General features: G+C 41.5%; 1 protein-coding gene across 8 annotated transcripts in view; it reads left to right on the forward strand.

Annotated features, from left to right (window-relative positions):
• Positions 1 to 16854, forward strand: part of UBE4B (ubiquitination factor E4B) — a 148282-nt gene that overhangs the window by 79702 nt on the left and 51726 nt on the right. For all 8 annotated transcript variants that reach the window (NM_001410744.1, NM_001105562.3, NM_006048.5 and 5 more), the window contains 5 exons: positions 4800 to 4941; positions 6854 to 6954; positions 9303 to 9417; positions 14135 to 14218; positions 16733 to 16789. In NM_001410744.1, coding sequence (NP_001397673.1) covers positions 4800 to 4941; positions 6854 to 6954; positions 9303 to 9417; positions 14135 to 14218; positions 16733 to 16789 — 499 coding nt within the window. The remainder of the gene's footprint in view (positions 1 to 4799; positions 4942 to 6853; positions 6955 to 9302; positions 9418 to 14134; positions 14219 to 16732; positions 16790 to 16854) is intronic.

The raw sequence follows: 16854 nt of genomic DNA on the forward strand, positions 1-16854 counted from the left end.
AAAGTGTAGAAATATTTCTCCATAGCATAAATTTATGCATGTACTATATTCCGCTTTCTCCTTCAGTATCACACTCAAAATTTGAATCTACCTCTTTCAGTTTGAATCTAAAAATTCTTGTAAATCAGTTTTTGACCATTGACACTTAACGCTTGTATTAGTGAAACTGGCCACTTTTCTTACTTGTGATCATGATTTACTCTGGCACCTTTAGGATTAATATTATAATTTTGAAACACATTGACAAATACTGAGGTTGATGCTACATTTCCTGTTTGGTTAAAGCTTTGTTTAACTCCCCCCATCTGCCGCCTTGCAAGTCAGCTTGTTTGGTGCCTGGCTGGTGATCACTGTGTTAGTCCATTTGCATTGCCATACAGAAAGGGTAATTTATAATGAAAAGAGGTTTAATTGGCTCATGGTACCTCAGGCTGTTCAAGAAGCATGACACCAGCATCTGCTTCTTGTGAGGGCCTCAGAAAGCTTCCAGTCATGGCAGGAGGTGAAAGGGGAGCAGGCAGGTCACATGGCGAGAGCAGGAGCAACAGAGAGGAGGAGGATGTCCCAGACTCTTTTAAACAACCAGATCTCACGTGAACTCACTGAGTGAGAACTCACTCATCACCAGGGGGATGTTGCTAAGGCATTGGTGAGGGATCTGCCCCCATGATCCAGTCACCTCCCACTAGGCCCGTGCTCCAACACTGGGGACTGCATTTCAATGTGAGATTTGGACAAACATCCCAACCATATCAATCACCAAAACACACTGAGCTCTTTTAGCTTTGAACATTCTCTCATAGATCCTGAGTGCCTTTCCTTGCATTGCCTGGCACAAGAAAAGCAATCGTCTACATAGTCTTCTACATACATTGTCACTTTTCATGTGTGAGTGCACGGTTTGTGAAAATATTTCAAGTGGCAGTGAGGGTTTCAAATTTAAGTTAAAATGAAGTCGGATGTATTGCTAGGAATGGGAGTAATTTCAGTGGCAGTTGCATGAGCCAGCGCCATCTAAGCCTGCTGAGTTCACAGGCACGCTCACATGCTGGCTGGGGGTGCTGCATCAGACTGAGGCCTGGCAGCTGGCAAGGACCTATTGACATCAAACATAAGATGCTTTTCGGCCGGACGCAGTGGCTCACGCCTGTAATCCTAGCCCTTTGGGAGGCCGAAATGGGTAGATCATGAGGTCAGGAGATCGAGATCATCCTGGCCAACATGGTGAAACCCCGTCTCTACTAAAAATACAAAAATTAGCCAGGCATGGTGGCGTGTGCCTGTAGTCCCAGCTGCTCAGGAGGCTGAGGCAGGAGAATCGCTTGAACCTGGGATGCAGAGGTTGCAGTGAGCCGAGATTGTGCCACTGCACTCCAGCCTGGGTGACAGAGCGAGACTCCGTCTCAAAAAAAAAAAAAAGAAAAAAAAAAAAAAAGATGCGTTTCTTCCCAGAAATGTAAAGATGTGAGAAGAATGGGGCTTATTATCAAGAAATAGAGTTTCATATTTTCATTTTAAACATGAAGAAGATCTATTTTCATTGTCATCTGCAAGAGCTGTTCATAGGAAAATTACCCTCAATTGTGTGTAGGTACAAGCCTGTTTTAGCAAAGTTCATCCTTGCAAAGTGCAGTGAATATAGTCACTGAGTTATGAATGTTAGCAGCAGAGGAGGGATCGCAGGTCTTGAAACTAACTAAAATTGCTACAAGCAAAGATAGATATTTATTTTTTCCTTTCGGGGGGTTCCCTGCACTTCTCTCATTGGTTGATGGCTTTTTCTGTTTGTTCTAGTGTGTGTTTTTCCTGTGCTTTATTACAGTACTCACTTTTCAGTTATCAAGCCAGTCAGCAGATACCAGATCCTGCCATTAATTAATAAAGTATACCAAAAAATTAGTTGCTATAAAGACACAATAATTGGCCAGGTGCTGTGGCTCACACCTGTAATCCCAGCACTTTGTGAGGCTGAGGCAGATGGATCATTTGAGGTCAGGAGTTTGAGACTATCCCGGCCAACATGGTAAAACACTGTCTCTACTAAAAATACAAAAATTAGCTGTACATGGTGGCGAGCGCCTGTAGTCCCAGCTACTTGGGAGGCTGAGGCACAAGAATTGCTTGAACCCAGAAGGCGGAGTTTGCACTGAGCAGAGATCACACCACTGCTCTCCAACCTGGATGACAGAGCGAGACTCCATCTCAAAAAAAAAGACACAATAATTAATTGCCTTTGTTTGTTAAGGGATCCCACACGGACCTGCCCAGCCTTGTCATGACTCTGGCGAGGGCTTTGTAGGTGGCTTAGTTACCTACTCAGTCGGCAGGGAGTTGGCTGCCTTGTTCCTTTGACTGCTTCTCAGCCTCATTGTCTCCCTTTGCTTTCACCTGTCAGGCCTATGTTATAGGTTGTTGGAGTTCAAATTTACTAGACTCTGGGCTGAACGCCTTGAATTTCAAAGTAGCATTGTTTCTCCTTCTTACTGAAATACTTTAATACCATACTTTTTTTTTTTTTTTTTTTAATAGCAGGCCAGGCTGGTCTCGAACTCCTGACCTCAAGTGATCTGCCCGCCTTGGCCTCCCAAAAGTGCTGGGATTACAGGCATGAGCCACCGTGCCCAGCAAATATCATAGTCGCTCTCTTGCCCAGGCTGGAGTGCAGTTGTGTGATCTCAGCTCACAGCAGCCTCTGCCTCCCGGGATTTAAGAGATTCTCCTGCCTCAGCCTCCCAAGTAGCTGGGATTACAGGCACACGCCACCATGCCTGGCTAATTTTTTTGTATTTTTAGTTGAGATAGGGTTTCACCATGTTGGTCAGGCTGGTCTCCAACTCCTATACCTCAAGTGATCCACCTACCTTAGCCTCCCAAAGTGCTGGGATTACAGGCTTGAGCCACCGCGTTTGGCCAATATCATACCTGTATTCCAAGGTCAATTATGTGTAGTTTTCCAAAGTCTAAGGACAATGATGTCCATACAGACATGTGTCCTTTAACGAGAGGGATACATTCTGAGAAATGGATCGTTAGGCAGATTGGTCATTGTGTGAACATCATAGAGTATACTTACACAACCTAGATCATACAGCCTACTACACACCTAGGCTATGTGATATATAGCCTGTTTCTCTTAGGCTACAAACCTGTACTGCATGTTAGTGTACTGAACACTCTAGGCAATTAGATGCTTATGCCAATTATGGTGAGTATTTGTGTATCTAAACATGTCTAAACATAGAAAAGATACAGTAAAAATATGGCATTATAACCTTGTGGGACCACTAGGGTATATTTGGTCCATCACAGAGTGAAATGTTGTTATGTGGCGCATGTGTTACAAATGTGTTCCAAAATTAGTTATGCATATCTATCTGTCTGTAAAACATGTCAATTCCTCTTGGTCCTGTTAGTTTCTAGACATTAATTGTGTGTCCTGGGTTGAAGTAGGGATGTGTCTCTCACATTCCTGATGTTCCCATACTTTTTTTCTTTTATTTTAGGACAGCGTCTCTCTTTGTCGCCCAGGCAGGAGTGCAGTGGCATGATCTCGGATCACTGCAACAACCTCCTCCCACGGTCAAGTGATTCTTGTGCCTCAGCCTCCTGAGTGGCTGGGATTACAGACGTGTGCCACCACGCCCAACAAATTTTTGTATTTTTAGTAGAAACAGGGTTTCGCCCTGTTGGTCAGGCTGGTCTTGAACTCCTGGCCTCAAGTGATCCACCTGCCTTGGTGTACGAAAGTGCTGGGATTACAGGCATGAGCTACCATACCCGGCCATATTACCATCCTTTATCATCTTCTGTATGTAGGTTTTTTGCCAAGTTTATGTTTTCTCATTTTCTTCATTTCAGTACTCCTTACTTTTTCCTGTCGTAATTAATCCGTATGTGTCTTTTATGTATATCAAATCCGTTTGTGAGTTAAACACCAGATTTGTTATGTGGCCTGTCAATGGTTGATTTTAACTTTGTTTAATGTCCTCAAATTTAACCCTTGTGCTTATGTTTGGTTTTTATCTCAGAGGATAGTTACTACTAACATAACAGTGCTTCACAGTATAGACTGCTGATATTTTACAAAGCACCTCCACATTATTTCATTAAAACCCCACTGCAAAAGAGATGGAGGTTCTAGCTTCAGGTAACAAGTAAGCAGTGGGGTTGAGACTAGAACCCACGTCTGGTTACTCCTAGTACAATATTTTTGTTTTGTCTTTTACTATACTACTTTACCTTTTTCACTGATAGTTTTAGAGTTTTTATGTCGATAGCAAATATGTTCATGTCTCCTCCTAACTGGAGAGTTTCTTAACCTTTGGTTCTATTGCCAAATGTTAGATGAGGGCTTTTGAGATCCATGGTAGAAGTCACAAAGATGAGGGCTATTTTGTCAGTCCCTTATAACTTTTCCCCCAAAGAGTTTGATTACAGCAGTAGCATAGTCTGGCTTTAACCTACAGCCCTCTGAGTGATGCCATTCTTTTTGGTTAAAGTACCTGTGATGTCCCTTCCAATGCTTAACACTTGGTACCAGTTCTTAGTGCTTCTGGTTTTCTAAGTTGCCACCTGCAGTAAGAAGCAGCCCTTCTTAGGTCCCTGAAATGTTACCAAAAGTTACTATTGTTGGCTTTGGAGCAGGTGAAACAAGCAGTCAGGGTGGATCTTGGCCGCATGGGTGTTTGTGCTTTGTTATGTGTACAGGGATCCTAACAGGCTTTCTGCTGCAGAAATGCAAACTCTGCCAAAAATAATCAAGAGATAAGAATCAGAATTTCTTCTTGTCTTCTCTGAAGTTTGGGAGCCTCTGGTGGAGCAAGTAATTGGGATTCCTACAGTGACCATTTCACCATTGAAACCTGCAAAGAGACAGATATGCTGAACTACCTCATCGAGTGTTTCGACCGAGTTGGAATAGAGGAAAAAAAAGCACCAAAGGTAATATGAAATGGATTAACTTAAAAAAAAAAAAGCCTAGTTATTTGTTTGATTATCCCCACCCCTGGAGCATTCATTGATTTATTCAATCAGTAAAGCAATTATTGAGCATTTGCCATGTGCCAGGCACAATACTAGGAACTTAGGATGTGTCGATGAACAAAACAGAGATCCCTGCCCTCGTGGAACTCACATTCTAATAGAGACAGAGCCAAGGTTTGAACCTAGATGGCCTGGCTTCAGAGTCCTCTCTTGACCACACTGTAGCTCGGTACCGCCAGTGACTCATATGGCCCTGATAATTCTACTGCTTTGTTATAATAACCAACATTATAGAGCCTCTGTAGATTGCCAAGGACTGTGCCAGGTCGACATTAGCTTGTATCCTCAGTTGCTCTGTTAGTGCAGTGGAACCCGGTATAACATAGGCATTCTTTTTTCAACGTATGACTAAGCAAATGACTCTCAGAGAGATTAAGTACTTGTCCAGAATCACGTAAATAATAAGTTGCAAGGCTGGGCTTAAACTCAGTAAGCTACCCTTTTCCCATCACTTCTCTTGACTGGCTTCATTGTTTTCTCATTTTATTCCTATTTCATTTTCTGATTTTAATTTTACGTTAGAAACGAACCTCGTTGCCCACTGGTTAGTTTCATATTTGTAAAGGGCCTTCTTTGGGCTTTGTTGTACTTAGCCTTAGTGGAAGCGAAATGAGTGGGCATGTCTCCAAGGTTTTTTGTTTTTTTTGTTTTTTGAGATGGAGTCTCGTTCTCTCACCCAGGCTGGAGTGCAGTGGCGCTATCTCAGCTCACTGCAACCTCCACCTCCTAGGTTCAAGCAATTCTCCTGCCTCAGCCTCCTGAGTAGCTGGGATTACAGGCACCTGCCACCACACCCAGCTAATTTTTTTTTTTTCTTTTGAGACGGAGTTTCACTCTTGTTGCCCAGGCTGGAGTACAATGGCACAATCTCGGCTCACCGCAACCTCTGCCTCCTGGGTTCAAGTGATTCTCCTGCCTCAGCCTCCCGAGTAGCTGAGATTACAGGCATGAGCCACCATGCCCGGCTAATTTTGTATTTTTAGTAGAGATGGGGTTTCTCCATATTAGTCAGGCTGGTCTCTAACTCCCGACCTCATGTGATCTGCCCACCTTGGCCTCCCAAAGTGCTGGGATTACAAGTGTGAACCACTGCACCCGGCACACCCAGCTAATTTTTATGTTTTTTTTAGTGGAGATGGGGTTTCACCATGTTGGCCAGGCTGGTCTTTTTTTTTTTTTTTTTTTTTTTTTTTTTTTTTGAGATGGAGTCTCACTCTGTCACCAGGCTGGAGTGCAGTGGTGCAATCTTGGCTCACTGCAATCTCTGCCTCCTGGGTTCAAGTGATTCCCCTGCCTCAGCCTCCTGAGTAGCTGGGACTACAGGCGTGCACCACCATGTCTGGCTAATTTTTTGTCTTTTAGTAGAGATGGGGTTTCACCATGTTGGCCAGGATGGCGTCGATCTCCTGACCTTGTGATCCGCCCTTCTTGGCCTCCCAAAGTGCTGAGATTACAGGCGTGAGCCACCGTGCCCGGCCCAGGCTAGTCTTAAACTTCTGACCTCAAGTGATTTGCTTGCCTTGGCCTCCCAGAGTGCTGGAATTACAGGTGTGAGCCACCGCGCCTGGCCTCTAAGGTTCTTAAGTATAAGTTTGGTCACCTCAAACTTACGCTTCTTTCTTCTCTGACATCAGTTTCTGCAGAGGCAGTACACTTGGAAGGCACAGTTACTGTAGCTCGTTCACTAAGAATAAAGGAAGAGGAAAGCACGCTGTTTACTGATGGTCCATCCCTTTTAACTCTTATTTTTAACAGCATGGAATTGTATTGTTTGTTTCTTGTCGTCCTCACTTCCACCTTTCCTTTTCAGATGTGCAGCCAGCCAGCAGTCAGCCAGCTTCTGAGCAACATCCGCTCACAGTGCATATCCCATACTGCTTTAGTACTACAAGGCTCCCTAACACAGCCCAGGTATGAAGACCCGTGACGTGCTTGACATTAGCAGGCAGAGAGCCCTAGCCGTCAGTGGACATCAGGCTCTCTGGCCATTCTTGCACCACCTTAGATAACTCCCTTCCTCACCTGTAAAATGAAGGTCCCTTTCCTTCGCTAAAATACTATGAAAATAAACACTCCTTTCTTCCTCATCTTCTAAAGTAGTACAAAGCATATTTTAAAAAGAAATTAGTTATGTTTTAAGAATTCTGCCTGCTTTTTGAAATAGACCATTGTTGAACTATGTGGACAAGCATGGCAGAAAATTAGTAACTGACTATACAGCAACTGCCTGAAGTTGGTGGAGGTATTTGATAAAATGTGTAGATCATCACCTTCCATGTATAACACGGTCAATTTCTGTTACTGAGTAATAAACAATAGTAATGGAATGGATAGTTTAGGAATCAACCAAAGTGCTACATTATTTGCTTCTGAGAATCCTATAAAGGTTGCAAATTTTTGTTTTTATTTTGTTTTTAAAAATTTTTTTTCTTTGCCTCTCAGTCTTCTAAAGGTAGCAAGTTTTTAAAAAGGATGTGTATTTCATTTCTTTTATATAAAAAATATCTAAAGGGAAAAGCTTACATTTAAAAGTTTAGGCCGAGCATGGTGGCTCACACCTGTAATCCCAGCACTTTGGGAGGCTGAGGCTGGCGGATCACCTGAGGTCAGGAGTTTGAGACTAGCCTGGCCAACATGGCAAAATTCCGTCTCTACTAAAAATACAAAAGACTTAGCTGGGCATTGTGGCATGTGCCTGTAATCCCAGCCACCTGGGAGGCTGAGGCCAGAGAATCGTTTGAACCCAGGAGGTGGAGGTTGCAGCCGAGATCGTGCCACTGCACTCCAGCCTGAGTGACAGAGCAGGACTCTGTCTCAAAAAATAAAAATTAATAAAATAATAAAAAATTAAAAGTTTACAGGCCAGGCTCATGCCTGTAATCCTATCACTTTGAGAGGCCAAGGCAGATGGATTGCCTGAGCTCAGGACTTCATGACCAGCCTGGGCAACATGGTGAAACCCTATCTCTACTAAAAATACAAAAAATTAGCTGGGCATGGTGGCACGCACCTGTAATCCCAACTACTGGGGAGGCTGAGGCACGAGAATTGCTTGAACCCGGGAGGTGGAGGTTGCAGTGAGCTGAGATCACGCCACTTCACTCCAGCCTGGGCAACAGAGCAAGACTGTCTCAAAAAATAATAATAATACTAAATAAATAAAAATTCACAAACATAACATTACATTTATTTATTCTAGGTGTTCTTATGTTATTTTGTATGCCATAACCATATGTTTTTGAAACTTTTCAAAAAGAAGGAAAATTATATACATGTACCAAAACTTTAAAAAACGTTCCTTGATTAAAATTAATAAGCCCTCAGCCACTACTAATATTTTTTCCCCCAATTTAGATGAGGCATAAAGAAACATATAATACGGCCAGGCGTGGTGGCTTACATCTGTAATCCCAGCACTTTGGGAGGCCAAGGCAGGTGGATCACCTGAGGTTAGGAGTTTGGGACCAACATGGTGAAACCCCATCTCTACTAAAAATACAAAAATTAGCCAGGCGTGGTGGCAGGCGCCTGTAGTCCCAGCTACTTGGGAGGCTGAGCAGGAGAATCACTTGAACCCGGGAGGCGGAGGTTGCAGTGAGCCGAAATTGCGCCACCATACTCCAGCCTGGGCAACAGAGCGAGACTCCATCTCTAAAAAACAACAAACAACAACAAAAAAAACATATAATACTTCTTTTTTATTTTTATTTATTTATTTATTTTTAAGAGACAGAATCTCACTCTGTTGTCTAGGCTGGAGTGCTCACTATAACCTCAAACTCCTGGGCTCAGGCAGTCCTCCTGCCTCAGCCTTCCAAGTAGCCAGGACTCCAGGCACACACCATCTTGCCCAGTTGATATTTTCATCTTTTGTAGAGACAGAGTCTTGCTGTGTTGCCCAGACTGGTCTTCAACTCTGGGCCTCAAGTGATCCTCCCACCTCAGCCTGCCAAAGTGCTGGTATTGCAGGCGTGAGCCACCGTGCCTGGCCATGCTTCCTTTTTTCAGTGCTTCATTTTTAAAGGGCTCTATGTAGGAAAAGATGAATTCTTTGAAAATTCCCATAGTGTCTCATTAAAAAGACCAAAAAGTGATTACTATTGGTAAGAAGGGTTAGCTTTCGCCTGAAACTATTTTGCAGAATATTTGGGAGATGTCAAGTTTGACTTTTGACTGGGCAGTTGTTGCTGACATGACATTTCACGTGCCTCTGTAGTGAGTTGACTTCATCACCGTCCCTAATGTTCATGGGTCCACAGGTCCTTGCAGCAGCCGTCCTTCCTAGTGCCGTATATGCTGTGTAGGAATCTCCCATATGGCTTCATTCAGGAACTGGTGAGAACCACTCACCAGGATGAAGAAGTGTTCAAGCAGGTACGGTCGTATGAGTTTGCTCTTGCAAATTTTAGCCTGAGAGCCTCTATGTCGAGGCTAATTTCTGACCATTGAAAACTTTTGCCTGAATTCGAACATCCATGTGTTATTAGAGAGAAGGCCTACCCAATATTCTTTTGAGGAAATCAGATTGACAGCTGCATTGTTCAAATCATGTGCCCATTTCAACGAATCAGTCAAACATCTATCTTCTAAACAAGGTCTGCACTAGGTGCTTCGGGCAATATGAAAAAAATATGTAAGGCCCCGTTCCTGATTTCAAGGAGCTTTTAAAACAAGAATACCCAGAGACGGCATAAGGCATGATATGCATTTGCCAGATAAGTAGTGTCAAAAATTCATTCTCTGAGTTTGTAAGATTAACTTAATGACCATATTAGCTCATTGGCAGCCTGCATGCCATATAGAATCTTTGTCTTCTTCCCACTAGGAAAGATGTCTCATATCTTCCTAATTATTTCATTTGGTATTTATACATTGTTTTGGTATCTCATTGTGTAAAGCCAGGTGAAAATGCAGATATGTAGTGCTTAAAAATAAAGCTGTGTACGTAGTCTTGAAGGTTTCTTCCAAGGTGAAACTTTGTTGTTAACATTGCTGTTTGAAGGACCTGTTTGGGAAAGTAAGCACTTTGCCTTTAGCAACTGTCACACAAGTTTTTTCCCTGATGAAAGGGCTTTTATCAAATTTTCTTACAGTTTGCTGTATCATCACTTCCTTTTTTGTGACTACAGAGAATAACAGAGGCAATAGCTATAATTGGTATGATTCCTTTCACTCTGTTTTATACCTAAGATTATTTATAACTGTTAATTTTAAGACCTTTGAATTCTTGGGAATTGTGTTTTCAGCAGTCTTCAAAATATTTGTAAAAGAAGCAGCCAGGATCCAAGAATAAAAATTCCAGTTAGTGTTGTGTATTCTGTCTGGAATTCACTAGCTGTTTATCTTAGGTGATGATCTTACTGACTAATGGAAATATTAATGGCAACATAGTGAGCTTTTCTTCTCTAGAAGGGTAAGTGAACTCTCAGGAAAATAAATCACTGTCGGCCGGGCGCAGTGGCTCACGCCTGTAATCTCAACACTTTGGGAGGCTGAGGCGGATGGATCGCCTGAGGTCAGGAGTTCGAGACCAGCCTGGCCAGCGTGGTGAAACCCGGTCTCTACTAAAAATGCAAAAATTAACTGGGTGTGGTGACGGGTGTCTGTAATCCCAGCTACTTGGGAGGCTGAGGTAGGAGAATTGCTTGAACCAAGGAGACGAGGTTGCAGTGAGCCGAGATTACACCACTGCATTCCAGCCTGGGTGACAGAGCAAGACTGTCTCAAAAAAAAAAAAAAAAAAAAAAAAAATTACTGTCTTGGAAGGTTTGAGTGATGCACTACATTAAAGAGGTAATGGGTAGTAATTAGAATACTTTTCCTATTCAAGAAGATACCATTTGAGGAATCGAGTAGTTCTCTCTATATAAAATCAGCCCAGTGACCAGCTGAAAGGGGTATATTGAGCCTACTTTATTCATAAACAAACTTACACAAGAGGTTATGAAATGACCTCTGGGTGTTTTTTGTTTGTTTGTTTCCCCATCACCAGCTTTGGACAGAGAAGTCCTGCATTTTTTAAATTAAGATGAAATTCATATAACATCAAACCACCGTTGTTGTTTTGTTTTGTTTTGTTTTGTTTTTTGAGATGGAATTTTGCTCTTGTTGCCCAGGCCTAAGTGCAATGGCATGATCTCGGCTCACTGCAACCTCCGCCTCCCGGGTTCAAGCGATTCTCCTGCCTTAGCCTCCCAAGTAGCTGGGATTACAGGCGCCTGCCACCACACCCAGCTAATTTTTTGTATTTTTATTAGAGACGGGGTTTCACCATGTTGGCCAGACTGGTGTTGAATTCCTGATGTCAGGTGATCCACCCGCCTCAGCCGCCCAAAGTGCTGGGATTACAGGCATGAGCCAGCACACCTGGCCTCAAGCCATCATTTTGAAGTGTACAATTCAGTGGCATTTACTACATTCACAGTGTTATACGACCACCACAGACCTGTTTATTCTATTAATTAATTAATTAATTTTGAGGGTGAGTCTCTCTCTGTTACCCAGGCTGGAGTGCAGTGGCGCCGTCTCAGCTCACTGCAACTTCCACCTTCTGGGTTCGAGCGATTCTCCTGCCTCAGCCTCCCAAGTAGCTGGGATTATAGGAGCGTACCACCATGCCCAGCTAATTTTTGTATTTTTAGTAGAGATGAAGTTTTGTCATGTTGGCCAGGCTGGTCTTGAACTCTTGGCCTCAAGGCTGGTCTTGAACTCTTGGCCTCAAGTGGTCCGCCCACCTCGGCCTCCCAAAATGCTGGGATTACAAGTGTGAACCACAGCGCCTGGCCCAGACCTGTTTGTTTTTAATCCCAGAATTCTGCTGACTTTTCAGCCACTCAGTGTTGAATACTCTTTGTCTTTTCTTATGTGCTACCATGTGTTTTATCTAGAGAGGAATGATAACTGGGATGGAGCTGTTGGACTGCAAAGCAGCATTTTACCTTTTTGTCTTGAAAGAGTGGCAAATGTGAATTATTAAATCTTTGACTGAAATATCTACCTCCTTTTAATGTTTGAGAAATGTTCACAGATAAATAAATAGCAGCTAGAATTTAGGACTGGAGGTGGATACTTACAGTATTTTTAATCAGTGCTAGGAGGTATTCATTTGAAAATTGAAGAATTATTTAAAATATATAGGTCAGGCCAGGCATGGTGGCTCACGCCTGTAATCCTAGCACTTTGGGAGGCCGAGGCAGGTGGATCGCCTGAGCTCAGGAGTTCGAGACCAGGCTGGGCAACATGGCAAAACCCCATCTCTACTCAAAATACAAAAAATTAGCTGGCGCAGAAGTGCATGCCTGTAGTCCCAGCTACTTGGGAGGCTGAGGCAGGAGAATCTCTTGAACCCGAGTGATGGAGGCTGCATTTAGCTGAGATCGCGCCACTGCACTCCAGCCTGTGCGACAGAGTGAAATTGTGTCTGGAAAAAAGAAAAAGAAAAAGAAAAAGATTATGCTTAGTAATATTTTACCTGTGCAATGCACAAAAGGATAACTATACAAGAAAGTGTAATTATATTTTACTTGTAGCCTCCCTAAAAAAATTTGGAGATTTTTCAGGACAACCAGTTATGAACTAATTTTTGGTGATTCTGGAACCTCTGTTTGTCTTTTCTTCCTCATTACAATGTTGGCATTCCCCAGCTCCACACCTGAGTGTTACTTCTCCATTTTTATCTGGCATATGAGAGCAAGTTACATCTACCTTGATTGTTGGTATTGCAGAAACCATAGAATGATCTCTTCCAGAGCTGTATTGATATCTCACAACACTCCACGGACACTTTGTCATCCAGGGCACCTGTGTTTTATACTGTGCTCTTTAAATTATTAAGGTGCTCATGGAATGAAATTAGTAGGAAAGGGAATTTTTCAAGTTTTCTAGTGGCTACATAGTATACTCCTATTACAACTTGTTGGCATTCAGATTGTCAGCTGTTGTTTACAACATTTCTATTTAATGTTATTAGCCTTGAATCCCAACCAACTCCCTAAATGTGTTGATCAGTGCTTGCATTGTGAAATTTGAAGATGAGCTAGGCTGAGTAAATCTTACATGGTGTTACCTGGTATTAATCATAAATGTATAAAAGCAGATTTGAGTTCCTTTAAGTGCCAATAGCAGGTTAATGTATTAATTACACTATATGTGGAGGTAAGGCTTTCTAACTAAAGCTTTCTTTGTAAATTTCAACATTTACCAACTAGCTCTTTGCTCTAATTTAAGTTTAATGTAGTAATAATGTTGATTGTTGGCCTGTTTATCTTGTTTTCCTCAAAATAAATGGGGAAAAGCTTTTAAAAAATATTGATAGAGGGCCAAGCGCGGTAGCTCATGCCTGTGATCCCAGCACTTTGGGAGGCTGAGGCGGGTGGATCACGAGGTCAGGAGTTCGAAACCAGCGTGGCCAACAAAGTGAAACCCCGTCTCTACTAAAAATACAAAAATTAGCCAGGTGTGGTGGCACATGCCTGTAATCCCAGCTGGCTCGGGAGGCTGAGGCAGGAGAATCACTTGAACCCCAGAGGCACAGGTTGCAGTGAGCCAAGACTGTGCCATTGCACTCCAGTCTGGGTGACAGAGCGAGACTCCGTCTCAATATAGATAGATAGATAGATAGATAGATAGATAGATAGATAGATAGATAGATAGAAAGGAGGAAATATTGGAACATTTAATTGAATTTTTTAACAGGTTATAGATGCTTGGTAATCAAGAACATATTAGTTGCTGAGATGTGCAGAATTTAATTGAGTAGAGCAACGACTCCTGGAGAGTTCTTCAACAGGCTCCAAATGTATGGGTTTTGTTGAATTACTGGGTTTTGTTGAATTACTGGGGGTCCTGTCAGAGTATTAGAGTTCACCAAACTCCTCTTACTTCTGGAGAATTCAGCTGTATTACTTTATGGTTAGACTTGTCAAAGAACAGGTCAACACTCTGGCTGAATTCTAGACTTTTATATGCAAAAAAGCTTTTCCCTGGGGAAGGAATGAAATTTGGACATTCAGTTCTAGCACCTTATTTGACATACTTCCCACTCTTAGATTCTCTTAAACTTATATTTCTGATTTTGTTTTTTTTCTTATAGATATTTATCCCCATTTTACAAGGCCTGGCTCTTGCTGCCAAAGAGTGCTCCCTCGACAGTGACTACTTTAAATACCCCCTCATGGTAAAACTTTGTTCTTTTTCTTTAACTCATTCAATAGATGTTTTTCTTTCAGATTATTTTGACATATACTTTTCTTTCAGGTCCATGAGATCAACCTTGTTTTCAAATTTAAAACATGAAATCACTGTGTTGGCCATGCAGAGTGTTTGGTGTGCAGTGAGATGCATCAGTGAAGACAGTTAGCAGCCTGGTACATCTTCCACCTATCCAAGTCCTAGACAGGAGTTAAATGCACTTATTACAATGTACTTTGTATAGCTTATGAAAAAGATAACTTATCTCCTAGCAATGAGCATACCATAGTTGGGATGAAATTTTGTTACTTAAAAAAAAAAAACCTATTAAAAATGCAAATAAAAAAGGCAAAGCTGTACATACTAAGAAAATGAATACAATTTTATCTTTATGTGTTTACTTTGTGCAGAAAATCTCAGTGTAGCTCTCTTGTTCACCCTCCCTGTTTCCTAAGGTCATATTTACTTGGGAAGTAGAAATCTGCTTAGCTCTTTAACGCACTTAGAGCAGGCATACATTGTGGACAGAAGCTTCAGCTAGATTCCCATGGGGAGGCTTGAATGTTGTGAAAATGCTGAAACTAGAATGAAAATTAGAAGCTCCTTTCTGTTCTGAATTCGCTTATTTGAAATTTTGGGAGAAAAGTATTTTGAAGTGTTACTGAATATTTTCGTTGCAGAAGTGTAAAGGAAAAAATATCAAAATGAAATTAGTTTATTCTATGTATAAATTAAGTCTTATGTAAATTGAGACCATGGTTGTTTTTCTTACTGTATTTATTTCTTTTACTTATTCCACTGATTGGATTCCATTATACCATGAATTCATTACTGACGATCTGTTCTGTGCTAGACACTGGTGATACAGAAGCTAGGAAGACAAGGTCCCTCTCCTCAAGGCACTCATAATCTACTGCAAAAATAAGAGCTACAGCGCAACAGTTGAACAGATACTGTGATAAATGTTAAAACAGAGCTGTACACAAAGGGTGTATTTATCTATTTAAAAAATTCAAACCTGTCATGGCACTAAAAGGCTACAAGAATGCTGGGAAATTAGAAGGTGAAACCAGAATTCCTACTTTAAAAAATAATTTTAAGTGGATTTATGCCAGAGCTCTTTCCATTGTACATGTTATTGGGGCTCCTGGTAAAATTATTTGAATCCTTATGTATTGTTCTCCCTGTGGCAGATAAAAGGAAGTGGAATAATCTGATTGTTTGAGTTCAGTGATGAAATATTTTAGTGAACACTAATTATCACCATATTATGTAGATGTTCCTTCATGGGACTGTTGGCTTTTGGGTTGTGGTGTGAATTAGCTTGATGTTTCAGTGAGGAGCTTTTAGCATCTGATATCACCAAAATGTCCTTTTGTTCAAAAGACAGAGGCCTCCATTGTGGTAGACAGTGATTTCATTTTGTGCCATTATTGATGCTTGCATAATAACGAGGACACAGTGAGTGAGAGGGTACAATAATGAGAGGCAGGAAGCGGAAGACTGTTGAAGCTAAAATCAGAAATCATTGTGATCATTCTCTAGGTCAGTGGATCCTGCTGTGCCATACGTTGGAATCACCTTGGAATCAGCTGGGGATCTTTAAAGGTGTTTCTGCCTGGCTCCCCACCCCAGACCTTGTGATTTAATTCACCAGGGGTGTGGCATGGCATTGGGGTTTCCAAAGGCTTCCCATGTGATCCTAATATGCAGCCACGTTTGTGAACTCCTGCACTAGGCAGTGAGAACGCTTCCTTCTGAGTTGAGGCTGCCTGAACCTCAAAGGCATCTCAACGTTGTGTCAATGCCTAAATGCACTCTTCGGCTCATGTAGCAACTTCTAGAGCTGCGTCCGAATCACAGAGGAAATTAACTGTTGAAAATAATGTTTGATTGAGTTACCATGGGCATGCTAAATTATGTTTATGTCCCTAAAAAGTGTTTTTCATCGTTCTCTAATGTTAGGATGGTTGGATGTCTGAAGGAAAGTGTTGGAATTCTTAAAAGTACTAGAAATCTTGAAACCAAGTTATGTTTTTAAATATGTTTTGAATTTGATAGCTTATTAAATTGTAATTATTTATAGTCATGTTTAACACTGGCAAGAGGAGCCATCTAAAGTTTATGAAATAAATCTTTTTGACATGGAAAGATATGAAGTGGAAAAACTTTTTTGTAAAAAACATATATAGATACAGTACACAAAAATATATCTGAAAACTGTTGCTCAAAATATCAATAGAGGTTATCTTTGAGGGTAAAGCTTGAGTAATTTTTAGTTTCATTTTATATTTCTGTTTTATTTCAAGTTTTCACATTGCATGTGTTTTAGTTTATTAATCAGAAAAAGTAGTGAAGCTGCTGCCATTTCAGAGGGAATGCATGTGTGCCATTTTAGAGGGAACGAATTTATAGCAGCAGTTAAAACTGTTTCTTTATGCTACAAATGACAGTCAGTTTAAGATGAAATGCATTTAAATGACTCTGATCTTATTTCTAGGCACTAGGTGAGCTCTGTGAAACCAAGTTTGGGAAGACACACCCTGTGTGCAATTTGGTAAGCACTCACCTGATGGGCTTGCACATTTTCAGTGAATATATCATAACCCAGAAGGCATTCCT

This window comes from Homo sapiens, chromosome 1 (genome assembly GCF_000001405.40).
Source record: "Homo sapiens chromosome 1, GRCh38.p14 Primary Assembly".
NCBI lineage: Eukaryota > Metazoa > Chordata > Mammalia > Primates > Hominidae > Homo > Homo sapiens.